This window comes from Homo sapiens, chromosome 16 (genome assembly GCF_000001405.40).
Source record: "Homo sapiens chromosome 16, GRCh38.p14 Primary Assembly".
NCBI classification, from domain to species: Eukaryota; Metazoa; Chordata; class Mammalia; order Primates; family Hominidae; genus Homo; species Homo sapiens.
The window spans coordinates 4,294,082-4,313,596 of NC_000016.10; the positions used below are offsets into that span (position 1 = coordinate 4,294,082).

Below are 19,515 nucleotides of genomic sequence, written 5' to 3' on the forward strand. Positions count from 1 at the left end.
CGAGCAGAGAGGGTTTCCCTGGCAGGAGCCACAGGAGGCTGCCTGGTCCTCCCTTCCATGGCCCTGCCGTACAGCTGGCCCTCCAGCCTCGGGCTGGGGTATGGCACCCTCTCAGGGTGGTGGGGGTGTCCATGGTCATGGCCAGCGTCCAAGCCCTTAGGCCACCGGGAAGCAGTTCCCTACTGCAGATCTAGGGAAGGGGCACAGGCGCCCAGGCAACCAGCAGAGAAGGCACCCGGCTCTGCCCGGCTCTGCAGGAAGCTCTAGGTGGGGAGATGGGGCAGTGGCAGAGTGGGGCCTGGAGAACCGAGGAGGAGGACAGGGAGATCCCTCGGGGTGTCCCAACCGCAGAGGCCTGGCCTCGACTTCACCCTTCCCCACCTTGGGAAAGCTGAGGCACAGGAAGCTTCCCTGATAAATGGATAAATGAGCCTCCTGCTGCTTGGGGGCAGGGAATGTCGCAGGGCTGCTGCCCCCTCCACGGGCCTGGGTGTCCGCCTGCCTTTGCACAGGCACCTCAGGGATGCATAAGCACCAACCAGAGAGGTGAGAGGTACCAGGCACAGCGCGAGTGCCTTATCCATACTCTTTTTTTTTTTTTAATAAAAAAAATAGGCCGGGCGCAGTGGCTCACACCTGTAATCCCAGCACTTTGGGAGGCCAAGGCAAGCGGATCACCTGAGGTCAGGAGTCGGACACCAGCCCGGCCAATACGGTGAAACCCTGTCTCTACTAAAAATACAAAAATTAGCTGGGCGTGGTGATGCACGCCTGTAGTCCCAGCTACGCGGGAGGCTGAGGCAGAAGAATCGTTTGAACCTGGGAGGTGGAGGTTGCAGTGAGCTGAGATCATGCCACTGCACTCCAAAATGGGTGACAGAGCAGGACTCTGTCTCAAAAAAAAAAAAAAAAAAAAAAGCTGGGCACGGTGGCTCATGCCTGTAATCACAGCACTTTGGGAGGCCAAGGCAGGCGGGTTGCTTGAGGCCAGGAGTTGGAGAGCAGCCTGGGCAATATGGTGAAACCCCATCTCTACTCAAAATACAAAAATCAGCTGGGGGTGGTGGTGGGCGCCCGTAATCCTAGCTAGTTGGGAGACTGAGGCAGGAGAATCACTTGAACCCAGGAGGCAGAGGTTGCAGTGAGATGAGATTGTGCCATTGCACTTCAGCCTGGGGGACAGAGGGAGACTCTGTCTCAAAAATAGATAGATTAGATAGATAGATAGACAGACAGACAGACAGACAGATAAAGGCCGGGTGTGGTGGCTCATGCCGCCCTGTAATCCCAGCATTTTGGGAGGCTGAGGCGGGCCGATCACTTGAAGTCAGGAGTTTAAGACCAGCCTGGCCAACATGACGAAACTCCATCTCTACTAAAAACGAGCAAAAATAGCCGGGCGTGGTGGTCCACGCCTGTAATCCCAGCTACTCCAGAGGCTGAGGCACAAGTATCGCTTGAACTTGGGAGGCAGAGCTTGCAATGAGCAGAGATTTCACCATTGCACTCCAGCCTGAGCGACAGAGCGAGACTGTGTCTCAAAAATAAAAAGGAACAAGGTGCTGATCTATGCTACAATATAGACGAACCTTGAAACATTAAGTGAAAAGCCAATCACAAGAGACCACCACTTTATTTGAAATGCCCAGAATAGGGAAATCCATAGAGGCAGAAAACAGGCTGGTGCGTTGCCAGGGCCTGGGAGGAAAGAGGAATGGGGAGTGGCTGCTTCTTGAGTATAGGGTTTCTTTTTGGGATGGTGAAAATGTTCTGAAATTAGATGTTGATGATGGTTGCACGACTCTGAATACACTAAAAACCACTGATTGTACACTTCAAAGAGGTGAATTTTACGGTATGTGAATTATATCTTATTTTTATTTTTTAATCTTTTTTTGAGATGGAGTCTCACTCTGTCACCCAGGCTGGAGTACAGTGGTGCGATCTCAGCTCACTGCAACCTCCACCTCCCTGGTTCAAGCGATTCTCCTGGCTCAGCCTCCCGAGTAGCTGAAACTACAGGCACCCACCACCACACCCGGCTAATTTTTTTAGTAGAGATGGGGTCTGGGGTTTCACCGTGTTAGCCAGGATGGTCTCGATCTCCTCAACTCATGATCCGCCCGCCTTGGCCTCCCAAAGTGCTAGGATTACAGGCGTGAGCCACTGTGCCCGGCCAAATTTTTGTATTTTTAGTAGAGACGGGGTTCACCATGTTGGCCAGGTTGGTCTCGAACTCCTGACCTCAGGTGATCTGCCGGTCTCAGCCTCCCAAAGTGCCGGGATTACAAGCATGAGCCACTGCTCCCAGCTTGATTTTATTTTTTATTTTTATTATTATTAACTAATTTATTTATTTTAGACAGAGTCTCTCTCTGTCACCCAGGCTGGAGTGCAGTGGCGCGAACTTGGCTCACTGCAAGCTCTGCCTCCTGGGTTCACGCCATTCTCCTGCCTCAGCCTCTGGAGTAGCTGGGACTACAGGCGCCCGCCACCACACCTGGCTAATTTTTTGTATTTTTAGTAGAGATGGGGTTTCACTGTGTTAGCCAGGATGCTCTCGATCTCCTAACCTTGTGATTTGCCTGCCTCGGCCTCCCAAAGTGCTGGGATTACAGGCGTGAGCGACTGCGCCCGGCCTATTTTTATTTTTTGAGACAGAGTCTCACTCTTGTCACCCAGGCTGGAGTGCAATGGCGCAATTTCGGCTCACTGCAACCTCTGCCTCCCAGGTTTAAGCAGTTCTCCTGTCTCAGCCTCCCGAGTGGTTGGGATTACAGGCACGCACCACCATGCCAAGCTAATTTTTATATTTTTAGTAGAGATGGGGTTTCGTCATGTTGGCCAGGCTGGTCTCAAACTCCTGACCTCAGGTAATCCACCCACCTTGGCCTCCCAAAGTGCTGGGATTACAGGTGTGAGTCACCCTTCTGACCCACTCCCAGGTTCCAGGAACAAGAATACAGGTCCTCTAATGGACAAAGCTCATTCAGGGACCCTCCAATGTGAATCGACCAGACACAGTCCTCATGTGTCATGGGAGGGGGACAGGCAGCAGCTCCTGGAGCGGAAGGACGCCTGGCCCCTCCTCCGGCCCCAGATGCAGCTGCAGGTACAGGGAGGGCCTCCCAGGGCAGGCCAGAGCCTGCAGGCCCCCAGCTGCAGCCCCAGCTGGGACCAGGCTTCTAACCTCACCCCTTTCTTGCTCCTCCCGCCTCCACCATCTCTCCTGTGGAGCCCCCAAGACTCTGGAGGAGAAATCAAATACAAAACTCCTAGGAGAACAGAAAGGGGGCTGCTGCTGCTGCGTGCAGACACACTCATGCACACCCACGCACACACATGCAAACACACACATGCACACCATCCTTCGAGCCCACAGGCAGATCACAGAGAACCTAGATGTCAGGATGAGAAAGGAACTAGACGTGAGCTATCATCTGCCTCCTTGGGGCAAGGCCTGTGCCAAGGGATTTGCCAGGATTGTCTCATCCAATCCTGAAAAGAAGCTTGGAGATTTCAGAGATGAAGAAAATGAGCATCTGAGAGCTTAAGGGAGAGACTCAACCAAAGGGACACCTGGGGACGCTAAAGCCCATGAAGCTGAGCACAGGGCCTGGCAGCCAGCATGGTGGAGGCAGCTTAGCAGAGCTGGGGGGTCGCTCTTGTATTTATGTTTTTTTGTTTTGTTTTTGAGATAGGGCCTTGCTCTGTTGACCAGGCTGGAATGCAGTGGTGCGATCAAGGCTCACCGCAGCCTTAACCTCCTGGGCTCAAGCCATCTTCCCGTCTCAGTTTCCCAAGTAGCTGGGACCACAGGTACACACCACTATGCTCATCTAATTTAAAAAAAAATTTTTGAAAATACAAAAAAATTAGCCGGGCGTGTGGCAGGCACCTGTAGTCCCAGCTACTTGGGAGGCTGAGGCAGGAGAATGGCATGAACCTGGGAGGCAGAGCTTGCAGTGAGCCGAGATCACGCCACTGTGCTCCAGCCTGGGCGACACAGCAAGACTCCCATCTCAAAAAAAATTTTTTTTTGTAGAGACAGGGTCTTGCTATGTTGCCCACGCTGGTCTCCAACTCCCAGGATCAATCGATCCTTCCACCTCAGCCTCCCAAAGTGCTGGGATTCCAGGCGTGAGCCACCACGCCTGGCCGGTGTGGTTCTTTTAAGGGACAGCCCCCCTCATTTCCATTTGCTCCATGGGGCTACAGGGGTATTGCCCTGTGCTGGGCAGGCTCCTGACCCAGGCCTGTCCCATCAGGAGTACGGTGATCGCTACAGGGCTGGGTTGGGACCCAGCTCCAGCCAAAGAGAGGCAAACCTAGGATTCTGCTGGAACCCGTGGTAGACACAAGCTGGAGGTTCACAGGTCTGTGACATCAGGGCCTCCTCTCAGGAAGCGCTGGCCCAAGAGCAAAGCGAAAACGGAGGAAACCTGGCTGGGAGATGCAAGCCAGTGTTCCTGTGAGCACTGGACCCAGCTAGACCCTCGGCCTCTGCAGTTACACGAGCTGTCAAGGAACTGGTCTTTATTTCATTTATTTACTTATTTATTTATTTTTTAATTTGTTTTTGAGATGGGGGGGTCTTGCTCTGTCACCCAGGCTGGAGTGCAGTGGTGCAATCTTGGCTCACTATAGCCTCCACCTCCTGGGCTCAAGCAATCCTGCCTCAGGAGTAGCTGGGACTACAGGCCCGCACCACCACACCTGGCTAATTTTTCTATTTTTTTGTAGAGATGGGGTCTCACTATGTTGCCCAGGCTGGTCTCAAACTTCTAGGTTCAAGTGATCCTCCCACCTCAGCTTCCAAAAGTGCTGGGATTACAGGCATGAGCCGTTGTGCCTGGCCCAGAAACTGGTCTTTGAATCCAGGTCTGAACGCTGAAGCTCATGCTCTCTTCCTTGCGCCCCAGCTGTCCGCATAGAGGCTCTGATAGATCAGGGGCTCAGGCAAGTCTGGGGAGGGGGCCTCACCTCCCTCCCAGCCCCTGGAGGGAGTGTTGGACCCTCTCACCCCCCTCAAAGCAGTTCCATTGCTCCCTTTGACCTTCAAAGTTGGCATCTGCTTGCAGGAATCTGTCTCTCTCCTCCTGGAATTCAGCCTCCAGATGTCAGATCCGAGGCGGTGGCGGCAGCATATGGCTCCCCTCAGAGTGAATCAGCCACATTCCAAAGGTGCACACACAGACGCCACACCCTCAGCAGCCTGGCTGCAGACTTCCTCCCAGCCCCAGCACCCGGCACCCGCCCCAGCCCCCACCTCTTCCCAGCCAGACCCGACTTCGGGCTTCCTTTCCAGAGACTTTCTCCTGGAACTGGAACAGAGAGAAAGCCACTAGGGCTGGAGACACCCTGAGCAGCCCTGCTCTGCTCACTCGCTCCCAACCGCTCACAGCTGTTATCAATATATCTATGGTGCATCCACTCAACAGGTGTGCACTGAGCACCTATGATGTGGCAGACAAGATACAGACAAGCCCCGAACCTCACGGAACTCAGCTGGGCAAGAGCCCAACAAAATCAGGTCCAGAGGCAGAAAAGAATTCCAAGTGTGGGAAGAGCTATAAAAGGAAGAAACAGGCCTGGCGCGGTGGCTCACGCCTGTAATCCCAGCACTTTGGGAGGCTAAGGCTGGCAGATCATGAGGTCAGGAGATGGAGACCACCCTGGCCAACATGGTGAAACCCCGTCTCTATTAAAAATACAAAAATTAGCTGGGTGTGGTGGTATGTGCCTGTAATCCCAGCAACTCGGGAGGCTGAGGCAGGAGAATCGCTTGAACCCAAGAGGCAGAGATTGCAGTGAGCCGAGATCACGCCATTGCACTCCAGCCTGGCGACAGAACAAGACTTCATTTCAAAAAAAAAAAAGGAAGAAACAAGGGCTCAGACACGTGACAAAGTGACAGAGGGAGGGTTATGGGGTGGGGGAGGCTTATCTTGGGGTAACTTGTAAGCTGAGGTCTGAAGGATGAATAGAAACGTCCTCTATCGGCTGGTCATGGGATTGCACACCTGTAACCCGGGAGCTCCGGGAGGCCCAGGCAGGAGGACTGCTTGAGTCCAGGAGTTCAAGACCAGCCTGGGCAATATAGCAAGATCCCATCTCTACTAAATTAAAAAAAAAATTTTTTTTAAAGAAACCTCTTCTATCCCGTCACTTCTGTAATCACTTCACGAGAATTACAGAAATATAACCCAAAAATATTTTCCCCAGTCACTCAGGAAGTTATTGGGTCCTCTTCTCCTGCCCCTCTTTTTTTTTTTTTTTTTTATCACTGAAGCAGGGAATCTGGCTAATTTTTTTAATAAGACCTTTGGTGAGGCCGGGTGCAGTGGCTCACACCTGTAATCCCAGCACTTTGGGAGGCCGAGGTGGGCGCATCACGAGGTCAGGAGATCGAGACCATCCTGGCTAACACGGTGAAACCCCGTCTCTACTAAAAATACAAAAAATTAGCCAGACATTGTGGCAGGCACCTGTAGTCCCAGCGACTCGGGAGGCTGAGGCTGAGGCAGGAGAATGTCCACCAACCTGGGAGGTGGAGCTTGTAGTGAGCCGAGATTGTGCCACTGCACTCCAGCCTGGGCGACAGAGCAAGATACCGTCTCAAAAAAAAAAAAAAAAAAAGAAAAAAAAAGACCTTTATTGAGATATAATCCATATAATTCACCACTTTACAATTACACCACAGTAGATGATTCAGTTGTTTTTAAATATCCACAGATCTGTGCATCTATAACTGCAATTTTGGAATATTTTCTTTTTCTTTTTTTTTCAAGACGGAGTCTCACTCTGTCACCCAGGCTGGAGTGCAGTGGCATGATCTCGGCTCACTGCAACCTCTGTCTCCCGGGTTCAAGCGATTCTCCCGCCTCAGCCTCCCAAGTAGCTGGGACTATAGGTGAGCACCACCGGGCCCAGCTAGATTTTTTTGTATTTTTAGTAGAGACGGAGTTTCATCACGTTGGCCAGGCTGGTCTCGAACCCCTAACCTCAAGTGATCCACGTGCCTTGGCCTCCTAAAAGTGCTTGGATTACAGGCATGAGCCACTGCAACTGACCAATTTTGGAATATTTTCATTAACCCAAAAAGAAACTCCACTTAGCAGTCACTCCCCGATGCTCACCACCACCCCAGGCCCCAGGCAACCCCTAAGCTACCCTATCTTTTTATTTATTTATTTTTAGAGACAGAGTCTCACTGTGTTGCCCAGGCTGGAGTTCAGTGGTTTGATCATAGCTCACTGTAGCCTCTACCTCTCAGGGTCAAGCAGTCCTCTCCTCTCAGTCTCCCGTGGAGCTGGGACTACAGGTGGGCGCCACCACACTCAGCTAACTTTATTTTTTTTTAGAGATAGGGGTCTCACTCTGTTGCCCAGGCTGGTCTTGAACTGCTGGTCTTGAACTCCTGGTCTCAAGTGATCCTCCTGCCCCAGCTTTCCAAACTGCTCATGCCTGTAGACGTAAGCCACTGCCCCTGGCCCTTAATCTACTTCCAGTCTCTATGGATTTGCCTATTCTGGAAATTTCATATGAACAGAAACACACAACATGCGTCCTGTGTGTCTGGCTTGTCACTGGGCATAATGCTTTCAAGGGTCATCCATGTTGTAGTATGTATTGGTGCTTCGTTTTTTTGTTTTGTTTTGTTTTGTTTTGAGACGGAGTCTCACTCTATCTCCCAGGCTGGAGTGCAGTGGAACGATCTCGGCTCATTGCAACCTCCGCATCCCAGGTTCAAGCAATTCTCCTGCCTTAGCCTCCCAAGTAGCTGGGTCTGCAGGCATGTGCCAACATGCCTGGCTAATTTTTTTAGAGACAGGGTTTCACCGTGTTAGCCAGGATGGTCTCGATCTTCTGACCTCGTGATCCACTGGCCTCGGCCTCCCAAAGTGCTGGGACTACAGGCGTGAGCCACTGCGCCCAGCTGCTTCGTTCCTTTTTATGGCTGAATCATATTCCACTGTTTGGAGAGACCACAGTTGATTTATCCATTCATCAGGTGAGGGACACATGGTTGCTTTCACTTTTTGGCTCTTATGAATAACACTGCTCTGAACATTCCCATGCAAATTTTTGTGCAGATATGTTCCCATTCCTCTTAGATATACACGATATATACCTAGGAGGGGCACTGCTGCGTCATATGGTCACTCCATGTTTAACATTTTTTTTTTTTTTTTGAGATGGAGTCTCACTCTGTCACCCTGGCTGGAGTGCAGTGGCCTGATTTCAGCTCACTGCAACCTCCACCTCCCAGATTCAAAGGATTCTCCTGCCTTAGTCTCCTGAGTAGCTGGGACTACAGGTGCCTGCTACCACACCCAGCTAATTTTTTTTTTTTTTTTTTTTACATCAAGACAGGGTTTCGCCATGTTGTCCAGGCTGGTCTCCAACTCCTGACCTCAAGTGATCTGCCTGCCTCAGCTTCCTAAAGTGCTGGGATTACAGGCCTGAGCCACTGTACCCGGCCTCCATGTTTAACCTTTCAAGGAACCAGACTGTTTGAAAGGGGCTGCAGACTCCCAGCAGCACCACACTCTGCCCAGATTCACTGAGACCCCTTCGCATGACCCCCAGTTCACACTACTCAGAGAAGCACCTTAAAATTAGCTGGCCTAAAGGCCAGGCGTGATGGCTCATGCCTGTAATCCCAGCAGTTTGGGAGGCCGAGGCAGGTGGATCATGAGGTCAGGAGAGTGAGACCATCCTGGCTAACACGGTGAAACCCTGTCTCTACTAAAAAAATACAAAAAAATTAGCCGGGCGTGGTGGCAGGCACCTGTAGTCCAGCTACTCCGGAGGCTGAGGCAGGAGAATCGCTTGAACGTGGGAGGTGGAGGTTGCAGTGAACCGAGATCACACCATTGCACTCCAGCCTGGGCGACAGAGTGAGACTCCATCTCAAAAAAAAAAAAAAAAGAAGTATCAGAACCAAGAGAGGATGGCAGCAGGGGATGGCAAGGCGCTCAGTGGTGAAAGCGTCAGGACTTGAACCCCACCGCCACTACTTTGCAGCTTTGCATTTTTGCATGAACCACGCGGCTTCTCCAAGCCTCCCTCTCTTCATCCACAAAACAGGCCTGATTGTGACAATCTACTCAATAGGGTGATTTTGAAGATTAAACATAGTAATACAAAACAAGTTATTCTGTTTGCCAAAGACATTACAGATGAGGTCATGTAGCCAATACCATGCCAGGAAACCAAAACTCACCTCAAGAAATCTGTTGGGTGGGACGGGCATGGTGGCTTATTCCTGTAATCCCATCACTTTGGGAGGCCGAGGCAGGTGGATCACGAGGTCAGGAGTTTGAGACCAGCCTGGCCAACATGGCGAAACCCCCGTCTCTACTAAAAATACAAAAAAATTAGCCAGCCGGGCGTGGTGGCATGCGCCTGTAATCCCACCTACTCGGGAGGTTGAGGCAGAAGAACTGCTTTAACCCAGGAGGCAGGGGTTGCCATGACCCAAGATTGCGCTAATGTACTCCAGCCTGGATGACAGAGTGAGACTCCGTCTTGGGGGGGAAAAAAGAAAAGAAATCTGTTGGGTAGCCAGGGCATGGTGGCTCATGCCTGTAATCCCAGCACTTTGGGAGGCCAAGGCGGGAGGATCACTTGGGGCCAGGAGTTTGAGACCAGCCTGGGAAACACAGTGAGACCCTGTCTTTACTAAATATAAATGTAAAAAAAAATAGCTGAGCATGGTGGTGTGCACCTATAATCCTAGCTACTTGGGAAGCTGAGGTGGGAGGCTTGCTATAACCCCAAAGGCTGAGGCTGCAATGAGCTGAGATCACACCACTGCACTCCAGCCTGGGCGACAGAGTGAGACCCTATCTCAGGAGAAACAAAGAAAAAGAAATCTGTCTTGTCCTAAGGCTGACAGGGGCAAAACCAGGATCTGAATCACGTGATTCCCGACAGGGCTTTGGCCAGCGCTGTGTGAATACTCACACAGATGGGGGATGCTGGGCAGCTTCAGCTCAGAAGGAACACTGAGTGAGGGACAGATGGACTGGTCCGGCAGGGGACCCGCCCATTCAGCAGATGTCCCTGGGCACAGCTCACATGTCAGTTCTCTGCAAAGCGGACAGGCGGCTGAGAAGTGTCAGAGCCTGCTAATGAGGGCTGGGCAAGAGAGAAGCAGAAGCGAACTTGCCTGGGTCGGGGGAAGGGGATGGTGCAAAGCAACCCTGAGGCCGAAAGCCTGTGTAGCTAGAACCAACGGGGGTGGGGGCGGGCGCTCAGGGCTCAGGGCTCAGGAAAATGAGGTGGCTCTCCTAGTTTTACCAGGGAAAGGAAAACAAGGCAGGAATTTCCGGCAGGGAAACCTGGCTACTCGGTGGGACTCTTAAAGATGACACTTTTTCCTCTATCCTCGAGTGCAGCCTCAAGACGGGCCCTGCTGGTCCATCCTGGGGCGACAGGTGTAGCCAGATTCCCCTCCAATCAAGGAGTCCAACTGGAAAGCTCCAGTGGGTTACCCAAGGGCAGATACCAAGCAAGTCCCTAAAAATGGAGGCCAGTGTGCCCTGGAGGGCAAGTATAAATATGGGGAACTCTGAGCCGGGCGCAGGAGCTCACACCTGTAATCCCAGCACTTTGGGAGGCAGAGGGCCGATCATCTGAGGAGTTCGAGACCAGCCTGGGCAACGTGGTGAAATCGTCTCAACTAAAAATACAAAATTAGTTTGGTGTGGTGGTGGGCGCTTGTGATCCCAGCTTCTCGGGAGGCTAGGGTGGAAGAATCACTTGAACCCGGGAGGCAGAGGTTGCAGTGAGCTGAGATTGTGCCATTGCATTCCAGACTGGGCAAACAAAGAGTGAAATTCCGTCACGAAAAAAATAATAATAAAAAATATGTGGGGAACTCTTAAGTAGAGATGGGGGTTCCCCTCACTTTTGCCTCTTCCACGGAGTTAAAGTGTCAAGGAAAGGGGTTCCCAGGATAAAACTTTCAGGAGTATTCGGTTTTAGGGGCTACAGGCAGAGGCGCAGGACCCTAGAGGGATTTTTTTTTTAGCTGGAGTCTCACTCTGTCGCCAAGGCTGGAGTGCAGTGGTGCGATCTCAGCTCACTGCAAGTTCTGCCTCCCGGGTTCATGCCATTCTCCTGCCTCAGCCTCCCGAGTAGCTGGGGCTACAGGCGCCCGCCACCACGTTCAGCTAATTTTTTTGTATTTTTAGTAGAGACAGGGTTTCACCGTGGTCTCGATCTCCTGACCTCGTGATCCACCCGCCTCGGCCTCCCAAAGTGCTGGGATTACAGGCGCGAGCCACCGCACCCGGCTGCTAAAGGGATTTAGGAGGTGGGTGGAACCACAAAGGAAAAGCTAGCTGCTGGTGGGGTCTCAGCTTGGAAGACGTCAGGGTGTGAACTGTCACTTAAGGAACAGTTTAGGATAGAGCAAGGGATGAGGAAGCCCACCTGGAGTTCGGCAGGAGTGGGTGACCTCAGGTAGCCCCCTCTTTTGAGAAACCTGGCCGGGAAGGTTGGAGACATGGCTGTGGCTTGAGGCTAGTGTTTTTTTCTTTTTGGGGACGGAGTTTCACTCTTGTTGCCCAGGCTGGAGTGCAATAGCACGGTCTCGGCTCACTGCAACTTCTACCTACCAGGTTCAAGGGATTCTCCTGCCTCAGCCTCCCAAGTAGCTGGAATTACAGGCGCCTGCCATCATGCCCAGCAAATTTTTGTATTTTTAGTAGAGAAGGGGTTTCACCATGTTGGCCAGGCTGGTCATTACAGGCCTGAGCCACCTCGCCGGGCAAGACTAGTGTTTGATTGTTCGTTTTGAGATGGAATCTTGCTCTGTCAGCTCACTGCAACATCTGCCTTCCAAGTTCAAGCGATTCTCTTGCTTCAGCCTCCAGAGTAGCTGGGACTACAGCCATGTGCCATCACGCCCCGCTAATAGAGATAGGGTCTTACCATGTTGCCCATGCTGGTCTTGAACTCCTGGGCTTAGGAGATCCTCCCACCTCGGCCTCCCAAAGTGCTGAAATTACAAGTGTGAGCCACTGTGCCCGTCCTGGAGTCAAAGGCTTTGGACTTGAATGCCATCTCTGCTACTTTAGAGCTGTGTGTGCATGTACTTTTAACTTCTCTCTGTCTCCCTCTCAAAATGGGCCCGATAGTAGGTTCCATTTTGGTCTGGTCCCACCAGGACCTCTGACTCGCTGGCGACCTCAGGTAGGGGCTCATGTAATAGCCCAGCTCCTCAAACACGGAGGATGGGTCCCACTCCTGACCCAGCCTCATTTTACAGCAGAGCGTGAAGGCCGAGACTAGAGGCTGCACCAGGCTGGGGAAGGGGCAAATTCTAGATTACTCACCAGGCCCGTACCCATGAGAGCCCTCAGGCCTGCAGCACCGTGGATCCAGAGGCAGAGACAGAGCTTTGTAGAAGGGTGAAAACACTTCCTCCCCGCTTCCGGCTGCAGAAAAGCCACTTTCTCGCGGCAGAGCCCAGACTGGCAACCCCCAGGCCTTCTGCACCTCACCTGGGCAGCAGGCACGCTGACTGTGTGTGTTTCAATCTCTCCAGGCTCAGAGGGATGGCGGGGGATGCTGCCTGCGCGGTTGCTAGTGGCGGACACAGCTGCCTGGCTGACACTGCCTTTGTCATGCTCCAGAGCACTCAGCCAGCCCGGGGCCCCTCACCCACTCCCTCTCTCCTCCTGCCACCAGAAGCAGCCTCTTCCCGGCTCCCACCCTTTCTCCCCGAAGCCACTTGTACCTGCTCCAGAGCCTGGAGAGGTGACAAGTGCTTCCCAGACAACAAAAGCATCTCCCAGGAGAACAGATGTTACGCACACTCAGCTACACCCTTGCTCTGTGCCCTGATTTTAAGCTGTGTTTGGGCAGCTCTTTGGGATGAAACTGAGGCAAGGGGTAAAGGGCCTGTCTTGGTCAAGGTCATCCCACCTTGGGACTCCTGGGTGTGTTTCAGACATCCGTCCCCTTGGGTTCCAATGCTGGTCTGGCCACTTACAAGCTGTGTGACCTTGGGCAAGTTATTTGACCTCCCAGAGCCTAATTTCCCCCCAGATAACGACAGATAGGTAGTGAACCCACCTCTTGCTAAAAAATGTGAGCCATTATTGTCATTACTCCATCCTTTTAATTCCTCTTTCTCTCCACTCCAGCCACATCCGCCTCAATGCCTGCTGCCCCTGGACCTTAGGCTTGGGATGTGAAATCTTTCTGGAATGTTCCTTCGTTAGTTCCTCGCATGGCTTGTTCCCTCGCTTCCCTCTTTTGAGTCTTGACTCAAGTCACCTCCCCAGGGAGGCCCTGTCCTGCCCTGTCCTCCCTGGGCGCTTATGTGACATCCGAGGCGGTTTCCCAATTCGACTACCTGTGGCTCTTGCGCCTGGAACGTAAGCCCCACGAGGACAGGACTGTTTCACTTCTGACTCCCGTGTCCGCAGCGATGGAAAGAATGACTGTGGGCGCCTACCCCCGGAGGATGCTGTCGGCGCCCAGTCTGGCGGCTCCCGGCGCGCGCCCGCGAGGTCACGTCCGGGGCGCGCCGGCCGGAAGGAGGCCCCGCGTGGGGGTAGGGGCGGGGCGTCCGAGCCAGGCCACGCCCCCCGGACTCGCGCCCCCCTCTCAGCGGCAGAGCCAGCCAGCCTGGGGCCGCCTCGCACTTCCGCTCACCAGCCGGCTTGTTCATATTCATGAGGCGGGCGAGAGGCGGGGCCCGGGTCACCGGCGGCGCCCCGCCCCTGGCTTGGAATCCCGCCCCGGCGGAGGCTTGGGCCCCAGTGGGGCGCCCCCAGCTTCCGCCTCGGGGAGGGAGTTTCCACTTGGTCACGACTCAAAAATGTGTCGCTCGCGCTTCTCCGCCCCCTCGTTCCTGCCCTGGGGGGGTCTCCTCCCTCGGAAGGCAGGAGGGGAGGGGCCAAGGGAGGGACGGCTCCTCCTCCCCGGGGCAGGTCCTTAGGGATCCCGGGCGGACTCCTCTCCCTCCAAGTTAGCGCCTTCAACAATCTTTCCCCTACCCCGTCAGACAGTCTTCTGTCGCCCAGAGCTGGAGTGCAATGGCGCGATCTCGGCTCACTGCAAGCTCCGCCTCTCAGGTTCAAGCGATTCTCCTCCTTCAGCCTCCCGAGTAGCTGGGATTGCAGGTGCGCGCCAACACGCCTGGCTAATTTTTGTATTTTTAGTAGAGATGTGGTTTCACCATGGTGGCCAGGCTGGTTTTGAACTCCTGACTTCGTGATCTGCCCGCCTCGGCCTCCCAAAGTGCTGGGATTACAGGCGTCAGACGGCGCACCCAGCCCTGCAATAATCTTAAATTTTTTTTTTTTTTTGAGTTGGAATCTCGCTCTGTTGCCCAGGCTGGAGTGCAATGGCGTGATCTGGGCTCATCGCAACCTCTGCCTCCCGGGTTCAAGCGATTCGCCCACCTCAGCCTCCCAAAGTGCTGGGATTACAGGCCTGAGCCACTGTGACCGGCCTTTTTTTTTTTTTTTTTTTTTTTGAGACTGGGTCTCACTCCGTCCCCCAGGCTGGAGTTCAGTGGCACAATCGGCTCACTGCAGCCTCCACCTCCTGGGTTCAAGCAATCTTCCCGCCTCAGCTGTCCAAGTAGCTGTGACTACAGTCATGCACCACCACAACTAGCTAATTTTTTAATTTTTTGTAGAGATGGGGCAGGGTCTTAGTATGTTGCCCAGGCTGTTCTCGAACTCCTGGGCTCAAGCAATCCTCCTGCCTCGGCCTCCCAAAGTGCTGGAACTACAGGCGTGAGCTACTGTGCCCAACCAAAACTACCTTTTTTACTTTTTATTTATTTATTTTGCGATGGCGTCTCGCTCTGTCACCCAGGCTGGAGTGCAGTGGTGCAATCTCAGCTCACTGCAACCTCTGCCTCCTGGTTTCAAGCGATTCTCGTGCCTCAGCCTCCTGAGTAGCTGGGATTACAGGCGTGTGCCACCATGTCCAGCTAATTTTTGTATTTTCAGTAGACACCGTGTCTCACTATGTTGACCAGGCTGGTCTTGAACTCCTGACCCCAAGAGATCCACCTGCCTTGGCCTCCCAAAGTGCTGTGATTACAGGGATGAGCCACCAGGCCCAGCCCAAAACTACCTCTTTTAAACTTCCCAAGGATCTGTGCAATATTATGATACCGAGAAGTTCAGAGCAGTTGAGTGACTCACCCACGTCACACAGCCGGCCTCAGGTTTTCCAGAAAGGTTGGTCCTGCTGGGTTGGGGTGGCAGGTGCATGTCTCCCACGGCCTTTCAGGAAATGAGGCTTACCTAAGGCACTCCTGTCTTGCTGGATGTGGCTGAAGGTTGGGTCTGTGCGCCACACTGATGGGAGGGAGAAGCTACATGCTAGGAGAAACGAAACCATGAAGGCAGGACAGGCTGCGTAATGTAAAATGAAAATTCGCGGGCCATGTTCTAAAATGATTAAGAATTTCAAGACGGTGACAGCAGAACATTCAGCCACACTCAGGCCCTTCTAAGGGCCAGCCCTGTGCAACTGCATAGCTCACATGGCTTCCATGAAGCAAGCCTCTGATGAAGGAGCCCAAGGGTGACAGCGCTGCCACCAGGGACATCCCCACCTCTGATAGAACTCTCCCCCCTAGCCCAGGCGCCCCATCCCGTCCCCGCCCTGGAATGCAGGACCCAGTCTCTAGACTTCCAAAAGCTGAGCATTTTAGGCTTTGCAGGACAGGTTCTTGGGGAGTCAGGTGGGTCACCCTGGGAGTGTCTCACATCTGCAAGTCCCAGCCAGGCCCCTGGGGCTGCACCTCCTGGGCATTTTCAGCTCTGGGCCCTGCGGGCAGGTGGCGCTGTGTTGTACATGCCAGGCCCAGCATGGCTTCGGTTCTGACTTGAAGCCCTCCTTTCTCCCTGGGGCAGGGAATGAGAAGCAGCCAGGGCCGCTTCCTAGAATAAACACCCCACCCGCAGACAGCCCCAGCTCTGTAGGCTCAGCCAGCCAGCGCCAATGGAGAGAGAGGCTCGCCAGGCCACCGGCTCAGGGTTGATAAGTCATCCTGATCTCACTCCCTCCATCACTCCTGCCTTGTGACTGGGCTCTGCCCGCTGTGGGCTGCTTCATTCATAATAGCTACCATTTGCGGGCTCTTTCTCCCAGCCACGTGCTGCTGGAAGCCCTTTCTGTGCACTTCCCACTGAGCCTCACAGAGGCCAGTGGTAATAGGTACCCTGAGGACTGCGATTTCATAGATGGGGAAACCGAGGCTCAGAGAGGTTAGAGGGCTTGGCCAAGGTCAAGGGCCAGAGGTCTGGATCTGCCACCATTCATCCATTCTGATTCCTGTCATCTCTCCTACATCTACAATGTAGGTCTCAAGGGTTACTTCTTTTGTTTTTTTGTTTTTTTTGGTTTTTTAGAGATAGGGTCTAAGGGCCAGGCGCGGTGCCTCATGCCTGTAATCCCAGCACTTTGGGAGGCTGAGGTGGGTGGATCACCTGAGGTCGGGAGTTAGAGACCAGCATGGCCAACATGGCAAAACCCCATCCGTATTAAAAATACAAAAATTAGGCGGATGTGGTGGCACACGCCTGTAATCCCAGCTACTCAGGAGGCTGAGGGAGGAGAATAGCTTCAACCTGGGAGACAGAGGTTGTACCACTGCACTCCAGCCTGGGTGACAAGCAAGACTCCGTCTCAGAAAAAAAAAAGAGACAGGGTCTCAGCTGCATATGGTGGCTCACGCCTGTTATGAGGCTAAGACAGGAGGATTGCTTGATCCCAGAAGTTCGAAACTAGCTTGGGTAACATAGTGAGACCCCTGTCTCTACAGAAAATATGAAAATTAGCTGAGTGTGGTGGCACATGCCTGTAGTCCCAGCTCCTTGGGAGGCTGAGGTAGGAGGATCACCTGAGTCTGGGATGTCAAGGCAGCAGTGAGCCGTGATCGCACCACTGCACTCCAGCTCGGGCAATAGAGTGAGACCCTATCTCAAAAAAAAGAGAGCTTAATAATCTGTTGGAGCTGGGCGCGGTGGCTCACGCCTGTAATCCCAGCACTTTGGGAGGCCAAGGTGGGTGGGTCATGAGGTCAGGAGTTCGAGACCAGCCTGGCCAACATGGTGAAACCCCATTTCTACTAAAAATACAAAAATTTGCTCGGTGTGGTGGCGTAGGACTGTAATCCCAGCTACTCAGGAGGCTGAGGCAGGAGAACCTGGGAGGTGGAGATTGCAGTGAGCCGAGATCATGCCACTGCACTCCAGCCTAGTCGACAGAGCAAGACTCTGTCTCGAAAAAAAAAAAAAATGAATGTGAACCTAGGTGATGTTCAATAAATGTTTACTGGTAAAGGATTAGGGGACCAAGTTCAGCCCCCAAAGTGTATCTATCAGCGATACTCAGGAAGCACTGACAACATGCCAGGCCCTGGGCAGGACCTTGCAGGGGGAGGGACAAAGCAGACAATGTCCCTCTCCTTGGGGATCTTACCGTCTAATAGGAGAGACCATCCTCCCTCCAAGAGGGGCCTACTCTGAGAGGAGGACGCCCAGCACAATGGCAGGGAGGGGGGACATGCCTCCATGCCTGTTGTTCACCTAGAAGGAGAAATGGGGCCTGGCTCTCCTGCAATGGCAGCTGCTGCCTCCTGGAAAAGCAGAACCTAGAGAAAACAGCTCAGAGCCTGGCCTTGTTGGCTGTCTCCACTGCCTGTCCCCCACCTCGACAGCTACCTGATGCTCCAGGGAAGTAGTGGGTTAGAGAGCACAAGCTTTGGATTCAGACTGCAGACACATGGAGACTGCAATCTGGACTATGCCTCCTACTAGCTTATACAACCCTGGACAAGTTAGTGAACTTCTTTGTGCTGTTGTCATCCATATAATGAAAATGTCCAGTAGAGAGAAAGAGCTGGGGATGGCTCACACCTGGAATCCCAGCACTTTGGGAGGCTGAGGCAGGAGGATCACTTGAGACCAGGAGTTCATGACCAGCCTGGGCAAGATGGCAAGACCTATCTCTAAATATTATTATTATTTTGAGACATATTCTCACTCTGTCACCCAGGCTGGAGCGGCACAGTCTCAGCTCACTGCAGCTTCCACTTCTCGGGTTCAAGTGATCCTTCTGCCTCAACCTCCCAAGTAACTGGGACTACAGGCCAACACACCCAGCTTATTATTATTATTATTTGAGACAGAGTCTTGCTCTGTTGCTCAGGCTGGAGTAGAGTGGCGCTATCTTGGCTCACTGCAACCTCCACCTCCTGGGTCCAAGCGATTCTCCTGTCTCAGCCTCTCCAGTAGCTGGGATTACAGGCGCACACAACCACGCCCAGCTACTTTTTGTATTTTTAGTAGAGACGGGGGGCTTCACCATGTTAGCCAGGCTGATCTCAAACCCTGACCTCAGGTGATCTGCCCGCCTCAGCCTCCCAAAGTGCTGGGATTACAGGTGTGAGCCACCGCGCCCAGCTATTATTATTTTTTTTAGATAGGGTCTTGCTCTGTCACCTGGGCTGGAGTGCGGTGGCATGATCATATAGCTCACTGCAGCCTTGATCTCCAGGGCTCCGGTGATCCTTCCACCACAGCCTCCCAAGTAGCTGGGATTACAGATGTGTGCCACCAGGCCCAGCTAACTTTTTATTTTTTGTAAAGAGATGTGGTCTCTTGGGAGGCCGGAGCGGGTGGATCACCTGAGGTCAAGAGTTCAAGACCAGCCTGAGCAACATGGTGAAATCTCATCTCTAGCAAAAATACAAAAAATTAGCCGGCATGGTGGCGAGCGCCTGTAATCCCAGCTACTTGGGAGGCTGAGGCAGGAGAATCACTTGAACCCAGGAGGCAGAGGTTGTAGTGAGCCGAGATCTCGCACCATTGGACTCCAGCCTGGGAGACAAGAGCAAAACTCTGTCTCAAAAAAAAAAAAAAAAAAAAAGGTCTGGGGTGTCATTATATTGCCCAGGCTGGTCTCAAACTCTTGGGCTCAAGTGATCCTCCCACCTTGGCCTCATAAGAGTGTTGGGATTACAGGCGTGAGCCACTGTGCCCGCCCTGTCTCTATTTATACAAATAAAAATAAAAGTAAAAAAATAAAATGTCTGGTAGAGAAAAAGAACTGGTCTGGAAGTGGCTCACACCTGTAATCCCAGCACGTTGGGAGGCTGAGGTGGGAGGCTTGCTTGAACCCTGCAGTTGGAGGGAGGCTACAGTGAGGTAGGATAGAGCCATTGCAGTCCAACCTGGACAAGAGAAGGAGACCCTGTCTCTAAAAAAATTCAAAGAAAAATAAAAAAAGAAAGACTGGTCTTGCCAAGAACTGGAAGTTTCTTTTTTTTTTTTTTGAGATGGAGTCCTGCTTTGTCACCCAGGCTGGAGTGCAATGGCATGATCTCAGCTCACTGCAACCTATGCCTTCCAGGCTCAAGCGATTCTCCTGCCTAAGCCTCCTGAGTAGTTGGGATTACAAGCACGCACCACCATGCCCGGCTAATTTTTGTATTTTTAGCAGGGATGGGGTTTCACCATGTTG

General features: G+C 52.9%; 5 annotated features.

Annotated features, from left to right (window-relative positions):
• Positions 355-1,014: an enhancer, noted in NCBI's record as "H3K27ac-H3K4me1 hESC enhancer chr16:4344437-4345096 (GRCh37/hg19 assembly coordinates)". NCBI's record gives its function as "activates a minimal SCP1, AML or CMV promoter by ChIP-STARR-seq in primed H9 embryonic stem cells {active_cell/tissue: H9 hESC(primed)}" and the evidence as "EXISTENCE:reporter gene assay evidence [ECO:0000049][PMID:30033119]".
• Positions 2,654-3,527: an enhancer, noted in NCBI's record as "H3K4me1 hESC enhancer chr16:4346736-4347609 (GRCh37/hg19 assembly coordinates)". NCBI's record gives its function as "activates a minimal SCP1, AML or CMV promoter by ChIP-STARR-seq in primed H9 embryonic stem cells {active_cell/tissue: H9 hESC(primed)}" and the evidence as "EXISTENCE:reporter gene assay evidence [ECO:0000049][PMID:30033119]".
• Positions 5,027-5,321: a silencer, noted in NCBI's record as "tiled region #643; HepG2 Repressive DNase unmatched - State 4:PromP, and K562 Repressive DNase unmatched - State 8:EnhW". NCBI's record gives its function as "represses a minimal TATA promoter and a strong SV40 promoter by Sharpr-MPRA in HepG2 and K562 cells {active_cell/tissue: HepG2 | K562}" and the evidence as "EXISTENCE:reporter gene assay evidence [ECO:0000049][PMID:27701403]".
• Positions 11,230-11,742: an enhancer, noted in NCBI's record as "H3K4me1 hESC enhancer chr16:4355312-4355824 (GRCh37/hg19 assembly coordinates)". NCBI's record gives its function as "activates a minimal SCP1, AML or CMV promoter by ChIP-STARR-seq in primed H9 embryonic stem cells {active_cell/tissue: H9 hESC(primed)}" and the evidence as "EXISTENCE:reporter gene assay evidence [ECO:0000049][PMID:30033119]".
• Positions 18,333-18,564: a silencer, noted in NCBI's record as "fragment chr16:4362415-4362646 (GRCh37/hg19 assembly coordinates)". NCBI's record gives its function as "represses an EF-1alpha promoter that drives an FKBP-Casp9 reporter gene in an ReSE screen in K562 erythroleukemia cells {active_cell/tissue: K562}" and the evidence as "EXISTENCE:reporter gene assay evidence [ECO:0000049][PMID:32094911]".